Genomic DNA, 22,991 nt, shown 5'->3' on the forward strand with positions numbered 1-22,991 from the left:
TATATGAAATAAAGTATATCTTGTTTATTTTCCTAATATTATGTTGATCTGCTAGCTAAATGTAAATGACTTCAAAAGTCTTTTCTTTATAATAATATGTGATTCTGTGTATAGGACACACAAAATAAAAAGGGAGCACATATACCCAGGAAGTAAGTTAATCACTTACAGATATATCACATTTATTTATTTAAAAAAAAACAACAAAACTACATCTGGGCATGGTGGCTCACGTCTGTAATCCCAGCACTTTGGGAGGCCGAGGAGGGCAGATCATGAGGTCAGGAGTTCCAGACCAGCCTGACCAACATGGTTAAACCTTGTCTCTACTAACAATACAAAAATTATCTGGGCATGGTGGTGCGCACCTGTAGTCTCAACTATTCAGGAGGCTGAGGTAGGAGAATCGCTTGAACCCAGGAGGCATAGGTTGCAGTGAGCCGAGATCATGCCACTGCACTCCAGCCTGGGTGACAGAACAAGACTCCGTCTCAAAAAAAACAAAAACAAAAACAAACAAAAAAAAATACTAACAGAGCACTTACTTTGTGCCAAGTATTTTTCTAAACAATTCACAAGTTCTAGACCTTTTACTTTTAATCTTCCTACCAAGTCTATGATGCAAGTACAATCATTACCTCCATTTACAAGTGAGGAAATAGTATAGGCTTTAAAAAAATTACACAAGGTCACATAGCTAATAATTTGCAGCACTGGGATTTGAACCCAAGCTATCTGGTTCCAGATTCTGTGCTCTGACTTATTCATCTCCATGATTAGGCATGTTATTTACTTTCTTTTATTCACCAATTAATTAACAAACTGAATTGCCATAGTAGTATAGTGTGATTAGTGCTATAATTCCAAATAATATACAACACTTTGATGTGTTTTGTCATTGACCTTAATTATTAGTTTCCTTGAGCCAGAATACAGCATCTAAACTTCACTTTAAAATACAAGATCTGCTTTTTTCTTGAACCAAGTCAAATTTTTTTTTCAATTTTTTTCAGGGCAGTAATTCAATTCCTCAAATATCAAACAACAATGCATTATTAAAAAGTCCCTGTGTAAGTAAGCTATCCTAAGCCCTTTAATTCAGCATCTTAGGCTACCTTGTTGACACTGAACATTCAACCATCAGGTTTCCTTTATTCACTCAAAATGTTATTACGTACCTACTATGTGACAGGCACTATGCCAAATACAGAGGATACAACAATAAAAATAATGTATATAAAATATTTATTTTTGCAATTAAAAGCTTCTTAAGTTTTTACTTTACATTCTAAATCTCATGGCTCTCCTTATGGACTGCTATCTAGAACCCTGAGAATTTCCTCTTTTAAATATATTCTCTTACACTACATCGCTTCTCTCCTTTAACTTCTCCTTGTTCCCACACCCTATGTCATGGTGAAAATTTGCTCTTTGGGAAAACTATCTCTCTTTTCTTCTGTGTATAACTCTGTTTCCTAGGGTTCTCCTATGGTTAGACAGCTAAGTTGGGAGCCTGTTTCCCTTATTAACTAGCTTTAATCCTGAACAACTACTTTGGTCTTTCAAAGCCTCGAAGTCCTCTCTATAAAACAGGGATTAGAAGAAGTATCTTTTTAAAGAGATGTTGTAAGAATGAAATAAAAGCACCCATCACACAAAACATTTATGACAAACAAATAGGAAAGATTCAATAAATGTGAGTACCTATTATTATTATCTTAATCATGTTAATATCATATTTCTAGGGCATCTTTAGAACCATTCATCTTCTTAATCCCATGCCTCCTGCTTGGTTTATTTGTATGCTAGAGTATTCTGGTGCTTCTCCAGTCTTTCCTTATTTATCTTTCTCACTTTATCTTTACCTTGAGCAAACAGTTCGAACCAAAATTTTGGAATTTTTGTCTTCAAAAGAATTCAGTCTGCCAGGCGCAGTGGCTCAGGCCTGTAATCCCAGCACTTTGGGTTGCTGAGGCAGACGCATCACCTGAGGTCAGGAGCTCGAGACCAGCCTGGCCCAACATGGCGAAACCCCATCGCTACTAAAAATACAAAAATTAGCCGGATGTGGTAGTGGATGCCTGTAATTCAAGCTACTTGGAAAGCTGAGGCAGGAGAATCACTTGAACCCAGGAAGCGGAGGTTGCAGTGATCCGAGATTGCACCACTGCACTCCAGCCTGGGCGACAGAGTAAGACTCCATCTCAAAAAAAATAAAAATAAAGAAAGAATTCAATCTTACTAACAAGTAGCTGCCTTTCCTCCTGATTTCTGAATATTTTTCAGCCTTCCCTTTAACCCTGGTCACAATAGCTTTCTCTCTTTTCTACTCATTACCTTGATTCTCAAGTAATGACACTATCCCCTATATTCATTCACCAACACAACATTTTTGGCTTATTCTGACTTCTTCTATCCCAGGGTTATCTATGCTGTTACTTCTCCCGTATAGGAATATTGCCTATTTCAGAGTCTTTGTGCAAAATTAATAGCATTATGACTCTTTAACCTTGGACTAATACAATCTCTAGTGACCATTTTGTATGAGAATAGCTGTGATCTGCTCGCAATTTTTGCTGCAGAAATAAAAAATTTTATTTCTTTTTTTTCCTTCCAGATATTCCCAAGGAGATCATAGATCATTTTATTACTAAAGCTCAACTAACACATTATTTTTATCTCTGACATATGCATTCCAGAGAAAATGTCTGACTCATTCCACTGGGAATTTACAATTATGGCTTATAAAACACAATCTCTCTATGGTTTTTTTCTTTTCTTCACCTCAGAGATTCCACATATTTATTATTTTACTTCTATTGGCCTTTCCTTCTCCTCCTGGCTAATTAGCCAAGCCAGCATTTGAAATCAATACTAGAAGTAACATGTTTTTATCTTCTCTCATTTTTGCACAGTTTACAGAGGTCTACATTTGTCAGGGTGTGGCTCATGCCTTTCAGTTCTACACACCTCTGCAAGCTCTCTGGAACCAACTCTGCACCGTGGTGTCACCCTGAACACTTGTCTCCACCTCCTCCTTCACTACTCTACTCCAGACTTACACCCTTCTCCTCTATTTCCAGGAACTTCCTAAAATTGCTTCCAGGGCTTCTTTGATGTGTGTCTTTCTGTCTGAGGCATCAGCCATCTTGGCTTCAACCCAGGACACACTAAAATATTCCTATAATGTGGGTATGATGAGTTGCCATGCAAATTGAAGTATGCATAACTAAGGCAAAGAAAGAAATTAAGATATTTCAAAAGGTTGTATAATAAACTCTCTTTACTTGGCTTTCTTTGAGAATTAGAAGAAACATTATAAATTCCTTTGATCATAGTGAATATAATATTAATAAATACTCCCATCTTTAAAGTTGAGTTATTATTTTGAGTACTTACAGTAAAGTTTCTCCAATGCCAGCCTAGGAACCCAAGGATTAATATGTAAGCAATGCCGAAATTTATGTGACAAATAAAAGGTGCAAAGAAGTTAATGCATTTGAAGCAATAAATTAACATGTAGACAGATGGTATAACGCTCCTGTGAAAATAAAATTCTAAAATTTACACTTCTGTGAAACCAAAATGTGATCATCAGAGTTCTTTCTAACAAGTCTTATTAGGATGAATTAAACTATACTCTCTGGGTTTACAGATAAATACTAATTAACCTTCATAAAGGGATCAAAAGAAATGGAATTGTTCACTGGGCAAGTAGATACCTGCTGATTTTATTTAAGGTATTTGGGGGAAGAAGAATAAGATATTAAATAAAATAATACAATTTTATTTTTATTTATCTGGGTCTGTGTGTGTTTTAGCTATGTTCAATTGATTAGATAGATAGATATGTTAATTTTCAGATGTAATGAAGGACAATGTGTGTTTTTTTCTCAGTTTAATGAAGTAACATAAGTAGGTCCTAAAAAAAATCATTTACCTGGTACTCAGATTTAAATGTCACACACAGGCATTCCTTTATTACATTAAGTACTTTGTCATTTCTAATTTTAGGTCTAGAAAATTTATCAGCAAGACTGAAAGACAAGTGCCTTGTGAAAAAAAAACACTGTAAACATTTTGTATTAAATATTATTTAAATTATAATTACAGAAAACAATCACATTTTCTTCTATGTGTGAATGTTCCAAGTGCAGATGTTCACACTTTAAAAATATGTAATCATTTATTTGCTATTCAGCTATGTTATTATATTTTCCACAAATCAATGGGAAATATATTTTGATAAAAAACATAGCCAAACTATAAATAGAGTAATTATGATAAATCAAAGATTTAAAAGACTGGCCCTGTTGTTTTCTCATAGACAACTAACAATTATTAATGAATTAATTTTACTTTTTCCAAAAAAGGCACTTAATTTCTGTTACAAAAAACTTTGTTCTCCCATTATTTTCAGGATGCGTAATTTTAAAATGAATCCCCAATATTTAAAAGAGATAACAATATGTAAAATTATCTCTTGGTCTCCTCACTATTACAGACTCTCAATATGGAAACAAATCCAAATATTTGTATTCAGGAAGCTCAGTAAATAATTGTGGTTACAGTCATAAAACTTTAGTGTGTCATAAAGTTATGCTTAATTATCTTTGTTTATATTATAGTCCATCTTTCTACAGACTTTTATTAGGGTGTCTATTTTCCCCTGTAGTAACTTATTAATTTAACAATTATTGACTGAGCACCTGTCATATATTAAACAAAGTAATAAAAGAGTCCCATAAACTCCAGAAAATTGCAATCCATAGAAAACTAGAGAAAAATACATGACTAGCTAGTGTAAAAAGAAAATGGTAACTTTCATGAAAGAGACGTGAGGCAGCACCAGGGAAACACGGAGCACCATATTCCTTACGGCAGGTGGAATCTCAGCCGCACATCTTCATGTTCCGCAGGTCAATAAAGATTGTGGAATAAAGAAATAGAAGTAATGACAAATCTAAGGATGCTATCATTGATGAGCACCCACATGTAATTTGTTAGAGAAAGAAAAAGTTCCAGGAGAAATACAGAAAACAAGAAGTCAGAGACATTTTAAAAATTGAATGTAATGCTGCAAAAGCTGAAAAGGGAACTATTTTTCAAGAAAAGACCTACAGCCAACGGGGTTCTGGACGCTCAGTGAGGCTGCAGATGGGCAGAGGACTGTTGATATTGGGAGAGTTCCCTGGGGACTTGAGAGAGCAGGTTCAGTACTGTGGTGTGGAGGGGAGGGAGGAGTAAACACTGAGGGAGCAGAGCCAAAGGGTGTGGCATATGCTTTTGAAACTTTCACAGAGAAATTGGAGACATTTAATGGTACCTTAAGGCGAGAAAAAGGTCAATGGAAGGTTTTTAATATTTGGAAATGAGAAGGCGAATAGCTTAAAGTCATGAGAAAAGAGAGGCTGTAATAATGAGACTGAAGACGAGAAAGGAAGTGTATGAGATATAGAATTTCCAGAAAGGTAGATGGCACCGAGAATGAGGGATCCTTGATGTGAAATAGATGGAAAATGGGAGAAGAGGAAAATTTATACAGTTCATTTCAATTGGCATACATCCTTTTAATTAAGCCAAGGCCGTGGCCATCTGCAGAGAAGGAAAATATAAAAGATAACTGAACAATTGTTTTCTACACTGTACCCTTTCTTACTGCTTAACACGCCTCAGTTTCGTTTTGTGAAGTTACCTTAGCCCCAAGGTGTGTGTGTGTATACTGCAACAAGAAATCTATGTGCCTGCCTCCAATTACAAAAGCTGTAGAGGATAATTCGTGCTTCTCACCTCCCAGTACATCCAAGAGGCAGAAATGTGTCCTAAGCTTAGACAGAAAATTTACTCCTGGGACTTTGAACCTTGATGCAAGAATACTATAAGGATGGGAGTCTACACTGCCTAGCAGCTGTGCCCTGACAGGTTTCTGCCGAAGAATGATTCCCACAGCTCCCAGTTTCTGGCTTCTGGAGCTGGCTTTGTCTTGTCCTCTTCATGTCTGTTCCTCTATTCTTTTTGCAATGCCATGAGCTTTTAATATCAAGCCACTAAATTTTCTTTTGCTTAAATTAGTCACGAGTGATTTTGTTTCTTTCACCACTCTCCCCAATTTACACACAAGCGTAACAGACAGAGTTGGAAGACTGATGGGAGAGGAAGCATTTGTAATAGTGATCATGGGATAATTAGAGTCAATTTGAGGTGATAAAGAATCACTAGTGGCACTGAGAACCCATTTAAACTTAAATGACACAAACAGTTTTATAATGGCCAAGTGTAATGAACTACATGATGACTATTTTCCACATTTTACTTTTTTATAACAAACTATGATACTTTCCAAAAGTTGGACAGTCGAGATGCTGGTTACTGGTAAAACCACTGAGCATCTCATCCCTACAAATACCATCTCATATGCCAACTAAACATGCAGACTAAATTTTCATGTTGCTTATAACATGACGTTTTTCCCAACTCAGCAACCTATAAAATACAGAAGATCATTCTAAATCCTTCCTTGGTCCCTTAAATTCTTTTAAGAACAGAAGCCTTGGAAACAAAAATATTACTTTTGTTATTAAGTGCAAACGGTATGGTGGATCACCTATCTTTGAGAGCTATGATTTCCCTTTGGTAGACTAACCCTTGATGTAAATCTTGTCTTGGTAATTAAAAAGCAAGCAAGAAGAAATCCAGAAACTGTAAAAAATAAAATAAAATAAGAAAAGTAAAAGCAAGCACTGGTTTTATTTCTAACCACTTGCTTGACTGGATAAGTCAGATAACCTTTTTTGTCACTTACTTTCTTCATCCGTAAATTGAGAACGTTAGACAAAATTTTAATGCAGCTCAAACCTTCTAGAATCTGCACTGTGATTCCTCTATGTAGTTTGATTCCCATATGGTACTCAGATCTAAAAATAGTATTACTGTGGGTAGAAACCTAAGAGGAGTGTGGTGACAATCCCATGAGTTTCAGATGAGCAGTTTCATGAAGTAGCTCATATTAGATTTCCAGAATACTGACCCCCTACCAGACTGTGCTAGAGGAGTAATAATATGACTCATGCAATGGCCAAAGTCATAATTAAAATTCATTAAATGCATTAGATTTAAAGTAATAAGGAAGTTTTAAAAACCAAAATTAGACTTTGCATTTTACTAACATATACTGTACTTTTTGTCCTCAATTTCTGGAGAGAAAATATGCCACTCTATCTATTTTCAGTTTTTACTTCTGTTTTTGGAGGAGATACATTTCTTTCTGGAAGCTGTCTTTTGAGTTCCATGGTAACCGCATCCTTCCAGTCAAATCTGTCCTGTGGGATGCGCAATTTAAGACATTTGAAAATGCCACCTAAGAAGATCACACTAAAGAGACCTGAAAGGGTATGCTTTAACATGAAAGTGGGAAAATTTCTCAGTGTTAGTCCAAATGAAATGCCAAGAATGAGGAGGAGAAACAGGATTCAACCAATCCAGCAATTTTTGCCATTGCTCCGAACAACCCGAGTCTTTTTTAAATTTTTTTCCTGGCTACTTTCTCACCATTAAGTCACAGTCTAGTATTTGTCCCTCATCTGGTTCTCTGTATTGAGGCTAGAAAACACAAAGGCCAGAAACAACAAGATTATAGCTAAGAGATAAGAAGGGTCAAGAGACTGGTGACACTGTCGTAACAGACAGGATTCTGCATAAACAGAGTGTGCCTCAAAGTCCATGCGGTCACTTATCCCTCCTCTGGCAGAAACCAGCTCCCCAGCTTTGGAGGCTCTGGAAACATAATTGGAAGAAATACACCTGATGATTCCCTGCCATCAGGGAAATGAAAGTCAGAGGATGTCCAGTGGTGAGGTTCAATAGGGAAGTGACATTTGTCCTGAGGTGAATGCAGACAGCAGATTCATGTGTGGGCACAGTGTGGCACAATCCTCTGCACCTGATTCCAGGGATGAAGTTTTGTCCCTGCCTCAGTGGTAGGCAAGAAGCAAGGGACAGCAAATCTGAGTCATTTTTATATGACTATCTAAATAAAAGTAATTCTAGATGTACAAGGACAGCAAGTCTGTTACAGTGTTCTAGACTCAAAGCAAGCAAAGGCAGTTAAGCATAGTATTAGTCCATTCTCACCCTGCTATGAAGAAATACCCAAGACTAGGTAATTTATAAATGAAAGAGGTTTAATTGACTCACAGTTCTTCATGGCTGGCGAGGCCTCAAGAAACTTATAATCATGGTGGAAGGCACCTCTTCACAGGGCAGCAGGAGAGAGAATTAGTCTTGAGTGAAAGGGGAAGACCCTTATGAAACCATCAAATGTTGTGAGAACTCATTCACACATCAGAACAGCATGGGGGAAACCATCTCCATGATTCAGTTATCTCCACCTGGTCCCACCCTTGACACATGGAGATTATTACAATTCAAGGTGAGATTTGGGTGGGGACACAGAGCCAAACCATATCATTCTGCCCCGGCCCCTCCCAAATCTTATGTCCTCACATTTCAAAACACAACCATGCCCTTCCAATAATCCCCTAAATTGTTAACTCATTCCAGAATTAACTCAAAAGTCAAAATCCAAAGTCTCCTCTACGACAAGGCAAGTCCCTTCCACCTATGAGCCTGTAAAATCAAAGCAAGTTAGTTACTTCCTAGATACAATGGGGTAAAGGCACTGGTAAAAACACTCACTCGAAATGGGAGAAATTGGCCAAAAAAGGGGGCTACAGGCCCCAGCAAGTCCAAAATCCAACAGGGCAGTCAAATATTAAAGCTCTGAAATGATCTCCTTTGACTCCATGTCTCCCATCCACATCACACTGGTGCAAGAGGTGGGCTCCCACAACCTTGGCAGCTCTGCCCCTGTAGCTTTGCAGGGTACAGCCTCCCTCCTGGCTGTTTTCATGGCCTGGTATTGAATGTCTACAGCTTTTCCAGGTACATGGTACAAGCCGTCAGTGGATCTACCATTCTGGGGTCTGGAGGATAGTGGCCCTCTTCTCACAGATCCACTAGTCAGTGCCCCAGTGGAGACTCCATGTCGGGGCTCTGATCCCACATTTCCTTTCCAAGTTGCCCTAGCAGAGGTTCTCTGTGAGTGCCCCACCCCTGTAGCAGACATCTGCTTAGATACCCAGACATTTCCATACATTCTCTGAAATCGAGGTGGAGGTTCCCAAACCTCAATTCTTGACTTCTATGCAACCACAGGCCCAACACCACATGTAAGCTGCCAAGGCTTGGGGCTTTCAACTTCTGAAGCAATGACCTGAGTGGTATCTTGGCCTCTTTTAGCCACAGCTGGGACAGGGCACCAGGTCCCAAGACTGCACAAAGCAACAAGGTCCTGGGCCTGGCTCAAAAGATCATTTTTTCCTCATAGGCCTCTGGGCCTATGATGGGATGGGCTGCCTTGAAGGTTTCTGACATGCCCTGGGAGCATTTTCCCCATGGTCTGGGTGGTTAACATTTGTCTCCTCATTACTTGTGCAAATTTCTGCAGCCACCTTGAATTTCTCCTCAGAAAATGGGTTTTTCTTTCCTATCACATCACCAGGCAGCAAATTTTCCAAACTTTTATGCTTTGCTTCCCTTTTAAATGTAAGTTTCAATTCCAAACCATATCTTTGTGATTACAAAAAGCTGAATGCTTTTAACAGCACCCAAGTCACCCCTTGAATGCTTTGCTGCTTAGAAATTTCTTCTGCCAGATACTCTAAATCATCTCTCTGAAGTTCAAATTGCCATAGATCTATAGGACAGGGGCAAAATGCTGACAGTCTTTTGCTAAAGCATAGCAAGAGACACCTTTATTCCAGTTCCCAACAAATTTCTCATCTCCATCTGAGGCCCCCTCAGTCTGAATTTCATTGCCCATATCATTATTAGCATTTTGGTCAAAGCCATTCACCAAGTCTCTAGGAGGTAGCAAACTTTCCCATGTCTTCCTGTTTTCTTCTGACCACTTCAAACTGTTCCAACCTCTGCCTGTTGTCCAGTTCCAAAGTTGCTTCCACATTTTCAGGTAACTTCACAGCAGCACCCCACTCCTGGTGCCAATTTACTGTATTAGTCCCTTCTCATACTGCTATGAACAAATGCCCAAGACTGTGTAATTTATAAATAACAGACATGTAATTGACTCACAGTTCCTCATGGAGGGGGAGGCCTCAGGAAACTTACAATCATGGTGGTAGCTAACTCTTCACAGGGCGGCAGGAGAGAGAATGAGTGTCAAGTGAAAGGGGAAGCACCTCATAAAAGTATCAGATCTCATGAGAACTCATTCACTATCATGAGAACAGTATGGCGGAAACTGTCCCCATAATTCAATTATCTCCACCTGTTCCCACCCTTGACACATGAGGATTATTACAATTCAAGGTGAGATTTAATTGAGGACACAGAACCAAACCATATCAAGCACCTTTATATAGCAACATCAAAATAGTAGGCAAAATGGCCTTCTTCCCTCCACTAATTATTATGTAGTAGACATGGATATTTTTTCTAAATATTTTAGTATATTATTTGGTTAGAAAAGAATGTTATGCTATTATTGAATGTTTGAGAAAACAATAATAATAAAATAATATTGAAAAAGCCCATTTAAACACCCACCAAGTTAAGCAAGAATCAACACATAATTTGCAATCAAAAGCATTTTAAAAAACAGGGGACATGAAGTCCTTGCCCATGCCTATGTCCTGAGTGGTATTGCTTAGGTTTTCTTCTAGGGATTTTATGGTTTTAGGTCTAATATTTAAGTCTTTAATCCATCTTGAATTAATTTTTGTATAAGGTACAAGGAAGGGATCCAGTTTCAGCTTTCTGCATATGGCTAGCCAGTTTTCCCAGCACCATTTGTTAAATAGGGAATCCTTTCCTCATTTCTTATTTTTGTCAGGTTTGTCAAAGATCAGGTAGTTGTAGATGTGTGGTATTATTTCTGAGGGCTCTGTTCTGTTCCATTGGTGTATATCTCTGTTTTGGTACCAGTACTATGCTGTTTTGGTTACTGCAGCCTTGTAGTATAGTTTGAAGTCAGGTAGCGTGATGCCTCCAGCTTTGTTCTTTTGGCTTAGGATTGACTTGGCAATGTGGGCTATTTTTTGGTTCCATATGAACTTTAAAGTAGTTTTTTCCAATTCTGTGAAGAAAGTCATTGTTAGCTTGATGGGGATGGCATTGAATCTATAAATTATCTTGGGCAGTATGGTCATTTTCATGATATTGATTCTTCCTATCCATGAGCATAGAATGTTCTTCCATTTGTTTGTGTCCTCTTTTATTTTGTTGAGTAGTGGTTTGCAGTTCTCCTGGAAGAGGGCCTTCACATCCCTTGCAAATTGGATTCCTAAGTATTTTATTGTCTTTGAAGCAATTGTGAATGGGAGTTCACTCATGATTTGGCTCTCTGTTTGTCTGTTATTGGTGTATAAGACTGCTTGTGATTTTTGCACATTGATTTTGTATCCTGAGACTGCTGAAGTTGCTTATCAGCTTAAGGAGATTTTGGGCTGAGACGATGGGGTTTTCTAGATATACAATCATGTCTTCTGCAAACAGGGACAATTTGACTTCCTCTTTTCCTAATTGAATACCCTTTATTTCTTTCTCTTGTCTGATTGCCCTGGCCAGAACGTCCAACACTATGTTGAATAGGAGTGGTGACAGAGGGCATCCCCGTCTTGTGCCAGTGGCAACGAAAGCCAAAACTGACAAATGGGATCTAATTAAACTAAAGAGCTCCTGCACAGCAAAAGAAACTACCATCAGAGTGAACAGGCAACCTACAGAATGGGAGAAAAGTTTTGCAATCTACTCATCTGACAAAGAGCTAATATCCAGAATCTACAAAGAACTCAAACAAATTTACAAGAAAAAAACAAACAACCCCACCAAAAAGTGGATGAAGGATATGAAAAGACACTTCTCAAAAGAAGACATTAATGCAGCCAACAGACACATGAAAAAATGCTCATCATCACTGGCCATCAGAGAAATGCAAATCAAAACCACAGTGAGATATCATCTCACACCAGTTAGAATGGCGATCATTAAAAAGTCAGGAAACAACAGGTGCTAGAGAGGATGTGGAGAAATAGGAACACTTTTACCCTGTTGGTGGGACTGTAAACTAGTTCAAACATTGTGGAAGACAGTGTAGCAATTCCTCAGGGATCTAGAACTGGAAATACCATTTGACCCAGCCATCCCATTACTGGGTATATACCCAAAGGAATATAAATCATGCTGCTATAAAGACACATGCACACGTATATTTATTGCGGCACTACTCACAATAGCAAAGACTTGGAACCAACCCAAATGTCCAACAATGATAGACAGGATTAAGAAAATGTGGCACATATACACCATGGAATACTATGCAGCCATAAAAAACGATGAGTTCATGTCCTTTTTAGGGACATGGATGAAGCTGGAAACCATCATTCTCAGCAAGCTATCACAAGGACAAAAAACCAAACGCATGTTCTCACTCATAGGTGGGAATTGAACAATGAGAACACTTGGACACAGGAAGGGGAACATCACACACTGGGGCCTGTTGCAGGGTGGGAGGAGGGGGAGGGATAGCATTAAGAGATATATCTAATGTAAATGACAAGATAATGGGTGCAGCACATCAACATGGCACATGTATACATATGTAATAAACTTGCAGGTTGTGCACATGTACCCTAGAAGTTAAAATATAATAAAAAATATAATAAATAAAAATAAATTTTAAAAAAGGGGAGAAATTGATTAGAATGATTTTCATATAATTGTTTAGATTAATTATTTGTTATGCATTTGTTTGTCCATAGTTTATTATCATTGTAATCAATTAATCAATTTTAGCTATTTCCACTGTTTCCATTTAATATAAGTCAAGAAAGACATAATTGTTTTCCATTGTGCCTGAGGTAGCGTGCCTCTAAAAATATCAATTACTATTTTTAGTCACATAAATTTTCTTCAATATTTTCTGTAAGCTCTAATATGTACTTATTAAAATATTTAATGGTAGCTGACAGAGCTAGTAATTTAATGCACAAGTGAGCAATAAAATTATTTTATGCTGTTGGATGATTAAGAAAACTGTCAGTAAGGAATAAGTCTTCAATAATAATATATTAAATTATAATACCTTATTTCCTACTAAATAAAAATGGAAATCATCTTTTTTGTACTATTTCAGATTTTTCACAAATAATTTATTCTTCCATTACAGCTAAGAAAATTTCTATATGGACCTGGACTACCATTTTTAAGAAATGTTTAAATGTTTAACTTTCCCTTTATTTATTTTATCCTATTTTTCAAGTCAGATGTTTTACCTTACTTTAGTTTTTGTCTTTCATACATTTAAAAAATATTCATATATATATAGTATAAACCAGGTGCTATGCCAGACATGTAAAAAACTGTAGGGAACAAGACCAAAAAGAATTTACAGGTGGTAAGAAAATAAATCTTTCAAACAAAAATATTTTGATAAAAGGTGATAAGGGGTGTGTGGAAAACACAGTGGTAATACAGATGAGGTAAGCAGTGATTAATCTTCCAGTGAGAAAACTCAAGAAAATTATTGAACAGGAACAAATAAGAATAAGGTCTTGGAAAAACTGATAGAAATTCACCAAGCAGTCAAGATGATAAAGGCATTCTAAGTAGCAGGAATAATTGATGTAAATTTTTAAAACTCATGAAATTGAATGGCATCATCAAAAATAGAAAAAAGAATTCATTTCTTTAGACACACTAAAGTACAATGGAGAGAAGAGTAGCTCACATGGCTGAAATAAGAGCCAAATATTTGACCACAGAGTCTGCAGTACCCTAAGGAATTTATCTTACTTCTTGATGGAAGTAAGCTAATGGGAAACTACTAGATTGAAACACAGGTAATTAACCCAATTTGCTTTGTAACATACTGGTTTGAGATTGCTTCTTCTGAAAATATGCACATGTAAGCTACTGCTCTAGACTATCACTGTACAATAGAAATATAATGTGAGCCATATATGTAATTTTAAATTTTCTAGTAACCACATTACAAAAACAGAAGAAATTTATTTTAATAATATACTTTAACCAAATATTCAAAACCAAATATTATCTTGCAATATCCAATCAATATAAAAAATTAAGAAGATAGTAGTTCACATAACTTTTTCCCTGAGTCTTCAAAATCCAGTAAGCATTTTATACTTATAGCACATCTCCTTTTGGATGCTAAATTTTCATCAGAAGTACTTGATCTGTATTTATACTACATATAATTTACAGTAAGAAAATAGATGCATCTTCCCAAGTTATTACAGACTTACTTGAAAGTTTCCTAATAACTGAATTGAATATCAAAAATCATCTTCCTTTAATATCCGCAATATTGACAACTCTGTTCATCTTTTTTTTAGAACAATAGATTTGGTTTTTAAGCAAGAACGTGTCAGTTTCAAAACTGTGTCTCAAAAGTACATCTGTCTCAGATAAGCAAATTCACTTTTGTGTTAACTCAATATTGACATTAAATTCACTAAGGTATTACACAAACTGAAAACAATTCTAAATTTACCAATTCAGAAATGTTATTGAAAATTTTCTTCTAGTTTTTACAACCAATTTGCATAATACAGTTGATTACAATTATAATGTCCTATACATTGATTCATATTTGAAAATGTATAAAATTGATCTTACTGATTTGTATTATGAAAAGTTTCAATTTCAAAGCCAAATCTCATAACTGCCTGGCTACCTCAAAAATAAGCTTTTCCTTTTCCTTGGAGCTTTAAATTCATGTGTAGAGCAGCGTGACTTTGCTGATAAAACATACGTCACAGGGCTATTTTTGTCCCTGGTTATTGAATATTTGTCAAGCATTACTTTTGTTTTAAAATTCTTCAATTTGGGTTAATAGAACTATAAATCTTTGTAAAACTCTTCTATGACTCAACCAACAAGCATTGACAAAGAACGCAAGATCGTTAGATTCATTGTCTTCTTTTTCTTTCAACATTTTCACATACTAGTGATGATTCACATCATTTACACATATATTCTGAACAGTTTTAGCAACTATATTCATGGTTCTTTCATACAATTTCCTTTAGGAAACTAAGTACAAATAGTGTCAGACTGTTTCATACAATAGAACAAAGAAATAAGGCAAAGACCACTCTTATTTTAAAATTCCAATAAATCCAACATTTGAACTCATATTTGTAAAGCATCATTTATTGTGACCAAAATTATAATTATAATTATTATTGATATGGAGTCTCGCTCTGTTGCCCAGGTTGGAGTGCATTGGTGCAATCTCAGCTCACTGCAAGCTCCACCTCCTGGGTTCAAGCAATTCTCGTGCCTCAGCCTCTCGAGTAGCTGGGACTACCAGTGCCCACCAAGAGCCCGGCTAATTTTTTTTGTATTTTTAGTAGAGACAGGGTTTCACCATGTTGGTCAGGTTGGTCTCGAACTCCTGACCTCAGGTGATCTGCCTGCCTAGGCTTCCCAAAGTGCTGGGATTACAGGGGTTAGCCACCGTGCCAGGCCAATTATTTTTATCTCTAAATGAAATATTTCTTTGACATATTAAAAATGTTTTTAAAAATCTACTGTTTTCAAATTTCTTTGCAAATTTGGAAGTTCTTTGAGACAAAATGGTAACATGGCAGAGATAGCCAATACTAAGTGCTGGTGAGAATATAGAGCAACTGGAACTCTCATGCAAATCTTATGATTAGCAATTCCGCTCTATAGGAAGATATCTTTCAGAATGTACATATGTATGTGCATCAAAAGTGTTCAAAGTAGCACTCTTTATAGTATTCAAAACCTGAACACAACACAGCCATTAATGAGAGAATGAAAAATAAATTGTGGTATAACCATGGAGTGAAATACTACAAAATGATGATCATTACTGAACCAGAACTACCTGTAACAAAATGGATGAGTCTCACAAGGATTATGTTAAGTGATGGAAACCAGACACAGCGAGTACACACTTTACATTTATAAAAGGTTCAAAAACAGACAAAAGTAATTGATGCAGATAGGAATAGATAGTGTTTAAATTAAGGAGGATGGGCTGGGATGTCTATGAGGGACACCTCTTGCTGGATGATCTCTTGAGCCCAGGAATTGGAGACCAACTTGGATAACATAGTGAGACCCCATTTCTACAAAATATTTTAAAAATTATCCAGGTGTGGTGGAGCACACCTGTAGTCTCAGTTACTTGGGAGGCTGAGGTGGGCAGATGGCTTGAGCCTGAGAGGGCAAGGCTGCAATGATGCATGATTGAACCATTGAACTCCAGCCTAGGTGACAGAGGAACACTCTGTCTCAAAAAAGAAAAGAATTACTTAATCTAGTAATCCCACTCCTTGGTATATATCCAAAATAATTGAAAGCTGAATCTCTAAAAGACATTTGCATCACCATGTTCATTGTAGCAGTTGCTTATAAAATTCTAGTCTTAATCGGGGTGGTGGTTACATGGATGTGTTCAAATGGTGAAAACTAATTGGTCTGTAATTATTACACTTAGGATTTGCACATTTTAGATATGTATGTTTTGAGTTTTACTGTTTTTTAACAGTCTTAATAAATCTATGAAACAGCAATTTACACAGACCACATAAGAAATTTAAGGGAGTTGAAAGATCTGAGGAAATCACTCAGAATACAGCATGAAAAGATAAAACGTAAAATAAAAAACAGCATTAAGAGACATGGAGGTCAGAATAAAGAGATTCTATATATAGCTAGCAGAAGTTCCAAAATGAGAAAATGTAGAGGCTGAGTGAAGGCAATATCAAAAGGAATAAAAGCTTAGACTTTCACCTGTCTAATAAAACACACTGTCTCAGATGCAGGAAGAACAGTCTACCAGTAACAGGGTGAATAAAAGGGTTTCTACAACTGTACTCGTTATAGGAAATTACTAGATATCAAAACGACCTTAAAAGCAACTAAAGAAAAAATTCACAGTATCCATAAGAGCATTATAATTAGACTGAAAGAAGACTTACAAAGCAGCAATGTAATCCAACAGAAAGTGACATAATGTCTGTAAAATGTTGGGAGAAAATAACTGTCAAGCTAGAACCTTAAAGCAGGCTAAATTGCCTTTCAAGAAAGAGTGTGAAACATTTATAGACTAACCAACCCTGAAGGAGTTCCTAACTCACAGAACCTTACTGAAATAACTACACAAGTATGATGAAGTCACTGAACCAAAAGGTCCTTCTACGGTCCAGAATCAAATGGAGATATTGATTAAATTAAGACTGCGTCACATCATTTGTGCATGTTAAAAATGTAAAGGTATAAGAACTTCATATAATAAAAAGACAAAAAGAGAGTTAAAAACATTTGATCAACGAAATACAACAGAGAAAAAAAAAGAGGAAAATGGTAAAGGTAAAACTCAGTAAACACACACACACACACACACACACACACACACACAAACACACACCAATAAGACAACAGAAATAAAGCCAAATTCTCAGAAATCTAAATAAGTGTTATAAGATTAAACTTGCTTCTAATTGAATTTTGGAAATCTGTCTATGTCAACTTATAAGATACAAGTGTGGAAACCAAAAAAATGAAAAAATAAATTAAAAGAAATGAAACTAAATAAATGGAAAAGTATATATGCCAGGTAAATACTAATCAAGGAAAAGTTGATAGCTAATTTAATATCACTAATCAAAAATTAATATCACAACAAAATATTTCCACACAAAAGTCATTGTTATAGAATACAAAAACAAGACAAAAAGTTTATCCAATGGACATATATGAAACCTGGTACCCAATAATTAAAGTAAATACATGGTTTATCAAATACAGTATACATAAAACTTTTATAAACACCAATCAATTATCAAGCCATAAACTAAGTCACAACAGCTGCCAAAAAATTTATATAATGTTCATAATGTCACATGATCAAAATGCAGGTAAATAAGGAAAGAATGATGAAAAGGTCATTAAACACAATTTAAGTTAAAAACTTCTAAATCACGTGTGGGTTAAAGAAAAATTAATAATAAACTTGACAAAATACAACTGAACTTCAGTGAAAAAAATTATCCATCAAAATGTACAGGAATGCAGATTAAACAGTACTGGAAAATTTAGAGCCTTATATACATATTTTAGAAAGAAAAACATTCAAACAAATTCACTTATTCTCTTAAAAGAACAAAATACAAGGAAAAACACTGATCACAAGAAGCAATAAAGATGAAAAGAGTAATTAATAGAATTTAAAAAATCAAGAATACGAGAAAGAACATTTTCAAACCTAGTGTTCTAGATGCTAATACGTTTGACAAACCACTGCAAGTGTTATCAAGAACAAAGGAGGAAAGGTAAAGTATTAGACACAATAAAAATATAACCATGATAAAAATTTTGAAAAAAAATAAAAAACACTAAAAATAATTTCTTAAGTTTGTTGAAAATGTTGATGAAATTCATATTTTAAGTGTTTCAAAATGAAATAGCAAGCCTGAACTGCATAATAATAATTTCAATAATCAATAGTTAAAAATTTGCCCACTGATCAATAGCCAGGCCCAGATATTATTAAATAAGGGCCCCATTAAAGCTTTAAGGAGAGATAATTTCTATTTTGTACAAGTTGTTGCAGAATAGAAGGAGCACATTTTGCAACTTAATGCTATATTACTACATAAATCTTAATACCAAAGACAGGTAAGGACATCATCAAAAAGAAAAATTTGAGGTTGATTTTATTTACAAACTAAAATTTTAAAATCTAATTTAAAATGGAAAAGTAATACATAATAACCAATCACAATTCAAGGATGGTTTAACATCTGAGTACAAAGATAGCTTAAAATTAGAAAATCTTATTTTAATACATCATACAGATTTAAGACAAAAATTTATTGAACAAGGTATTTGTGCAATAAAATAAATTGATAAATTCAGTACGCTTTTATGAAGAATAAAGGCTTTAAGCATACCAGAAATCGATTAAAATTGTCCTAATCTCTTAATGATTATTTATTTTATAAGAAACAGCATACTACAGAGTAAATCATAAGAAGCATTTCCTTTTAATTCAGGAATAAGCTAGAGTGTTTGCTTCTGTAAATCAAAACAGAAATTAAATATACAAGAACTAGAAAAGAACAAAGCTGTCATCACTCACAAAGACAGTTAATCTATTATAGCAAATCCGAAAGAACACACATTATACATTAGCAAATGTGAGACTTCTGCAAGGTTGCTGAATATAAGATCAATATATGAAAATAAAGATAATATGTAACATATTTAATAACTGTGCTTTGATCTAAGTCTAAAACAATCTGTAAGACTTTACTGAGAAAATTTTTAAATCATTGAAGAACAGAAATGTCTTAAATAAAAGAAGATAACAGACCATGTTCACTAATAAAAAATTTCAATGCTTAAAGGTAGATATTTTCCCTATAATTGTATAAACTAAATGCAACACTTACTGAATTCCCAAAAGGATTCCAAGGATTCCAAGGATAATATAGTCAACATAAAGTAATACGGTAACATAAAGATCTACAAAAAGCTAAGTCAGCTTTGACCAAGAAACAGAAGGAAAAAGTACAATTGAATATTATGATACTGCCATAGTGCTAGGCAAATTGAAGAATGTAATTAAATATAGAGCCTAGAAATAGATCCCTGTAGTTATAAGAACTACACTTAGGAATTAGGTAACATTATAAATCAGATGGGAAAAAAGTGTTGGACAACTGACAAACTATATGGTTAAAATGGAAAAATAAATTCCTATTCAAATTATGCACACATACACAAACACATACACAAAATTAGATGAACTAAAGATCTGATGTGAAAAATAAAACTTTATAACTTTTAGAACAAAAAGAGAATAATTTTGTCATTAGAATAGAATAGTATTTTTAAGCGACAAATAATACAAACAATTTTTTTAAGACTGATAAATTTGATCACATGCAAGTTTAAAAATTCTGGGTTAGAAAATGCCATAAAACTAGACTGAGCAATATGGTGAGACCCTGCCACTACAAAAAAATTTTAAAATTAGCCAGGCATGATGGTGTGTGCCAGTAGTCCCACATACTCTGGAGGCTACGGCAGGAGGATGACTTGAGTTCAGTAGGTCACAACTGCAGTGTTTACACCACTGCACTCCAGCCTGAGTGACAGAGCAAAACCCTGTCTCCAAAAAAAAAAAAAGAGGCCAGGCGCAGTGGCTCGCGCCTGTAATCCCAGCACTTTGGGAGGCCGAGGCGGGTGGATCACAACGTCAGGAGATTGAGGCCATTGGCTAACCCGGTGAAACCCCGTCTCTACTAAAAATACAAAAACTTAGCTGGGCGTGGTGGCGGACGCCTGTAGTCCCAGCTACTCGGGAGGCTGAGGCAGGAGAATGGCGTGAACCCGGGAGGCGGAGCTTGCAGTGAGCCGAGATCGCGCCACTGCACTCCAGCCTGGGTGACAGAGCGAGACTCCGTCTCAAACAAAACAAAACAAAACAAAAAAGAAAGAAAGAAAGAAAAACGAGCAAAGAAAAGAAAAGAAGAGGCCATGAAAAAAGGAAAAGATAAGTCACTGACTATACAATTAATAGGAACCCAAAACATGTGAAAACACACTACAAATCAACAAGCAAAACACCTACATTCAATGGAAAAATAACCAAATAATATAAACAAGCCATGCACGAAATTGGAAATACCAAATGGCCAAAAGTTATATAACAAAATAGGCAGGCTCACTAATAATTAGATAAAAGCACATGAAAATAACAATGAGACTCTACTGCATACCCAGAAGACTGAGAAAATTTGATAACAAGTACTGTTGAAAGATACAGGAAAACAAACTCTGCAACAATGCAGGACAAAGTAAAAACTTATACAATCAATTTTTGGAGACCAACTTGACAATATTTAGTAAAGTTGAAATGTCCATCCTATAGAATCTGGTAATTTCATTTTAGAATAAACACCCTAAAGAACTCCATATGTATGTACGAAAAATATATTCATAGTTATAGTTCTTGACAGCACTACCTATAATAGCAAAACAGCATAATGAAATTGAATGTCCACGTATATTTAGGAGGCTTTTTGTATAATGGAAAACCATACACACAGTCAAAAAGAAGCAAACTGAATATGTTTAGAGCAATTTTATTTTATTTTATTTTATTTTATTTTATTTTATTTTATGTTATGCTATGTTTTTATTTTATTTTATTTTATTATTTTATTTTATTATTTTATTGAGACAGAGTCTTGCTCTGTTGCCCAGGCTGGAGTGCAGTGGTGCAATCATGGCCCACCGCAGCCTCTAACTGCTGGGCTTAAGTGATCCTCCCAAGTAGCTAGGACTACAATTGCATGCAATCAAACCCAGCTAATCTTTATTTTTATATTGTAGAGATGGGGTCTTGCTGTGTTGCCCAGACTGGTCTCAAACCCCTGACCTCAAGTGATCCTTCCACTTTGGTCTCCCAAAGTGCTGGGATTACAGGCATGAGCCATCACACCCCTCTAAGAATGAACATTTTAAGAATCAAATTATTAGAGATCACGCATGCAGTATGATAACATTTATATACATTTAAACACAAAAAATGATACATAGCCCAAATGATATAGAGTATATGCAACTAGATGTAGATATATAAATATATGCAAAAAGCAGCCCTTGACATGTGTGAGCAAAGCTAACACTAACAACTAGGGTCTGGCCTGGAACTCACCTTTATGAGACTGATGACATAGGCTTAATATTCTTCTACTTAACATAAGTAATTTTACATCAACATCAGACAAAGCCACCTTGTGATCATTATAGGCCAAAATAAAAACAAGTCTGAATTCATATTAAACGAAGGCAAACCAGGAATATTATCCAAACCACAAGTATGACCAAATCTCCTCTATTTATGCTTTCTTCTCTCTACTGAATGTCATTTCCTCTTCCCAGCTAATAGGAGTGATTGTTGCTTCTCTACCGGTTACAGCTTTAGTTTTATCCTATTCTTCCCTTCTTTTAGGTAAGATTTGATAAGACATTCAATAATAGAATTACTTCTGCTTCCTAACAGTAAACATTTTGGAGCAAAGTCCCACTTCCTTGAGTCCTCCCAGACTTACCTAATGCAAGTCCAAATCTGTAATAAATCCTTTCTAACACCCTCTTACTGAGGTGCTCCACGCTTTCTTATGATGTGCATTCTCCATCATCGAAATGTACCGAACTTATTCAAATACAGATTTCCTGATGATCTTTGTTAGGAGGCATTAACCAGAATAAGTAATTAAAACAGAAACATACAGAAAAAAGTCATTCTAATTTCAGGACAGTAGTTATTCCTTGAGAAGCTGTAAGAGAGAAAAGAAGGTGGTGAGAATTTGAACTGCCTCTTAAAAACTGCATTGCTCTTTTAAGACATGTAAAGTATTGAACCAAATTTATACTTGGAATAGCAGAATCAGAGACTAGTCTGAAGCTTCAACTCATAATTTCAAAGCTCATTTAGATAATTATAGTACTAAATAAAGAATAAAATGAAAAGGCAAGGCTATGATTCATAATATTGCAAGCTGTGATGCTGCAGGATTGCCAGGAACAGAGATCAACAAGCAGTACAGCAAACTTCAATGTGGCTTTTGCCCGTTGTTATCTTGCATGTTGTATGTGTGTTGACACAGACTCAATAAAAATCAGAGGGCTTGTTTGGGAAGCAGTCTAGTACTTTAAAACTACTATCAAGCATGTAACTTTGCCACCTTTTGGTAACTAAAGCGAACTACAATTTACATTCTCAAGAACAAAATTAACCAAATGGCATCTTGCTCATATGAATCCTACCTAATTGAGAGATAATATCACAGTCATTTATTATTTACATAATTAAAATCCTTAAATAGGGACTCAAGATACCC

At 35.6% G+C, this 22,991-nt stretch overlaps 1 protein-coding gene across 5 annotated transcripts in view; it reads right to left on the reverse strand.

Annotated features, from left to right (window-relative positions):
• GPM6A (glycoprotein M6A) overlaps positions 1-22,991 on the reverse strand; it is a 369,457-nt gene that overhangs the window by 236,327 nt on the left and 110,139 nt on the right. The window contains exon 1 of one of the 5 annotated variants that reach the window (NM_001388090.1): positions 22,200-22,446. The exons of the other annotated variants lie outside the window; for them this stretch is intronic. The gene's annotated coding sequence lies outside the window, so the exon portion shown is untranslated. Of the gene's footprint in view, positions 1-22,199; positions 22,447-22,991 lie in introns of those variants that run through there. 5 annotated transcript variants of the gene reach the window in all.

Source organism: Homo sapiens, chromosome 4, assembly GCF_000001405.40.
Source record: "Homo sapiens chromosome 4, GRCh38.p14 Primary Assembly".
NCBI classification, from domain to species: domain Eukaryota; kingdom Metazoa; phylum Chordata; class Mammalia; order Primates; family Hominidae; genus Homo; species Homo sapiens.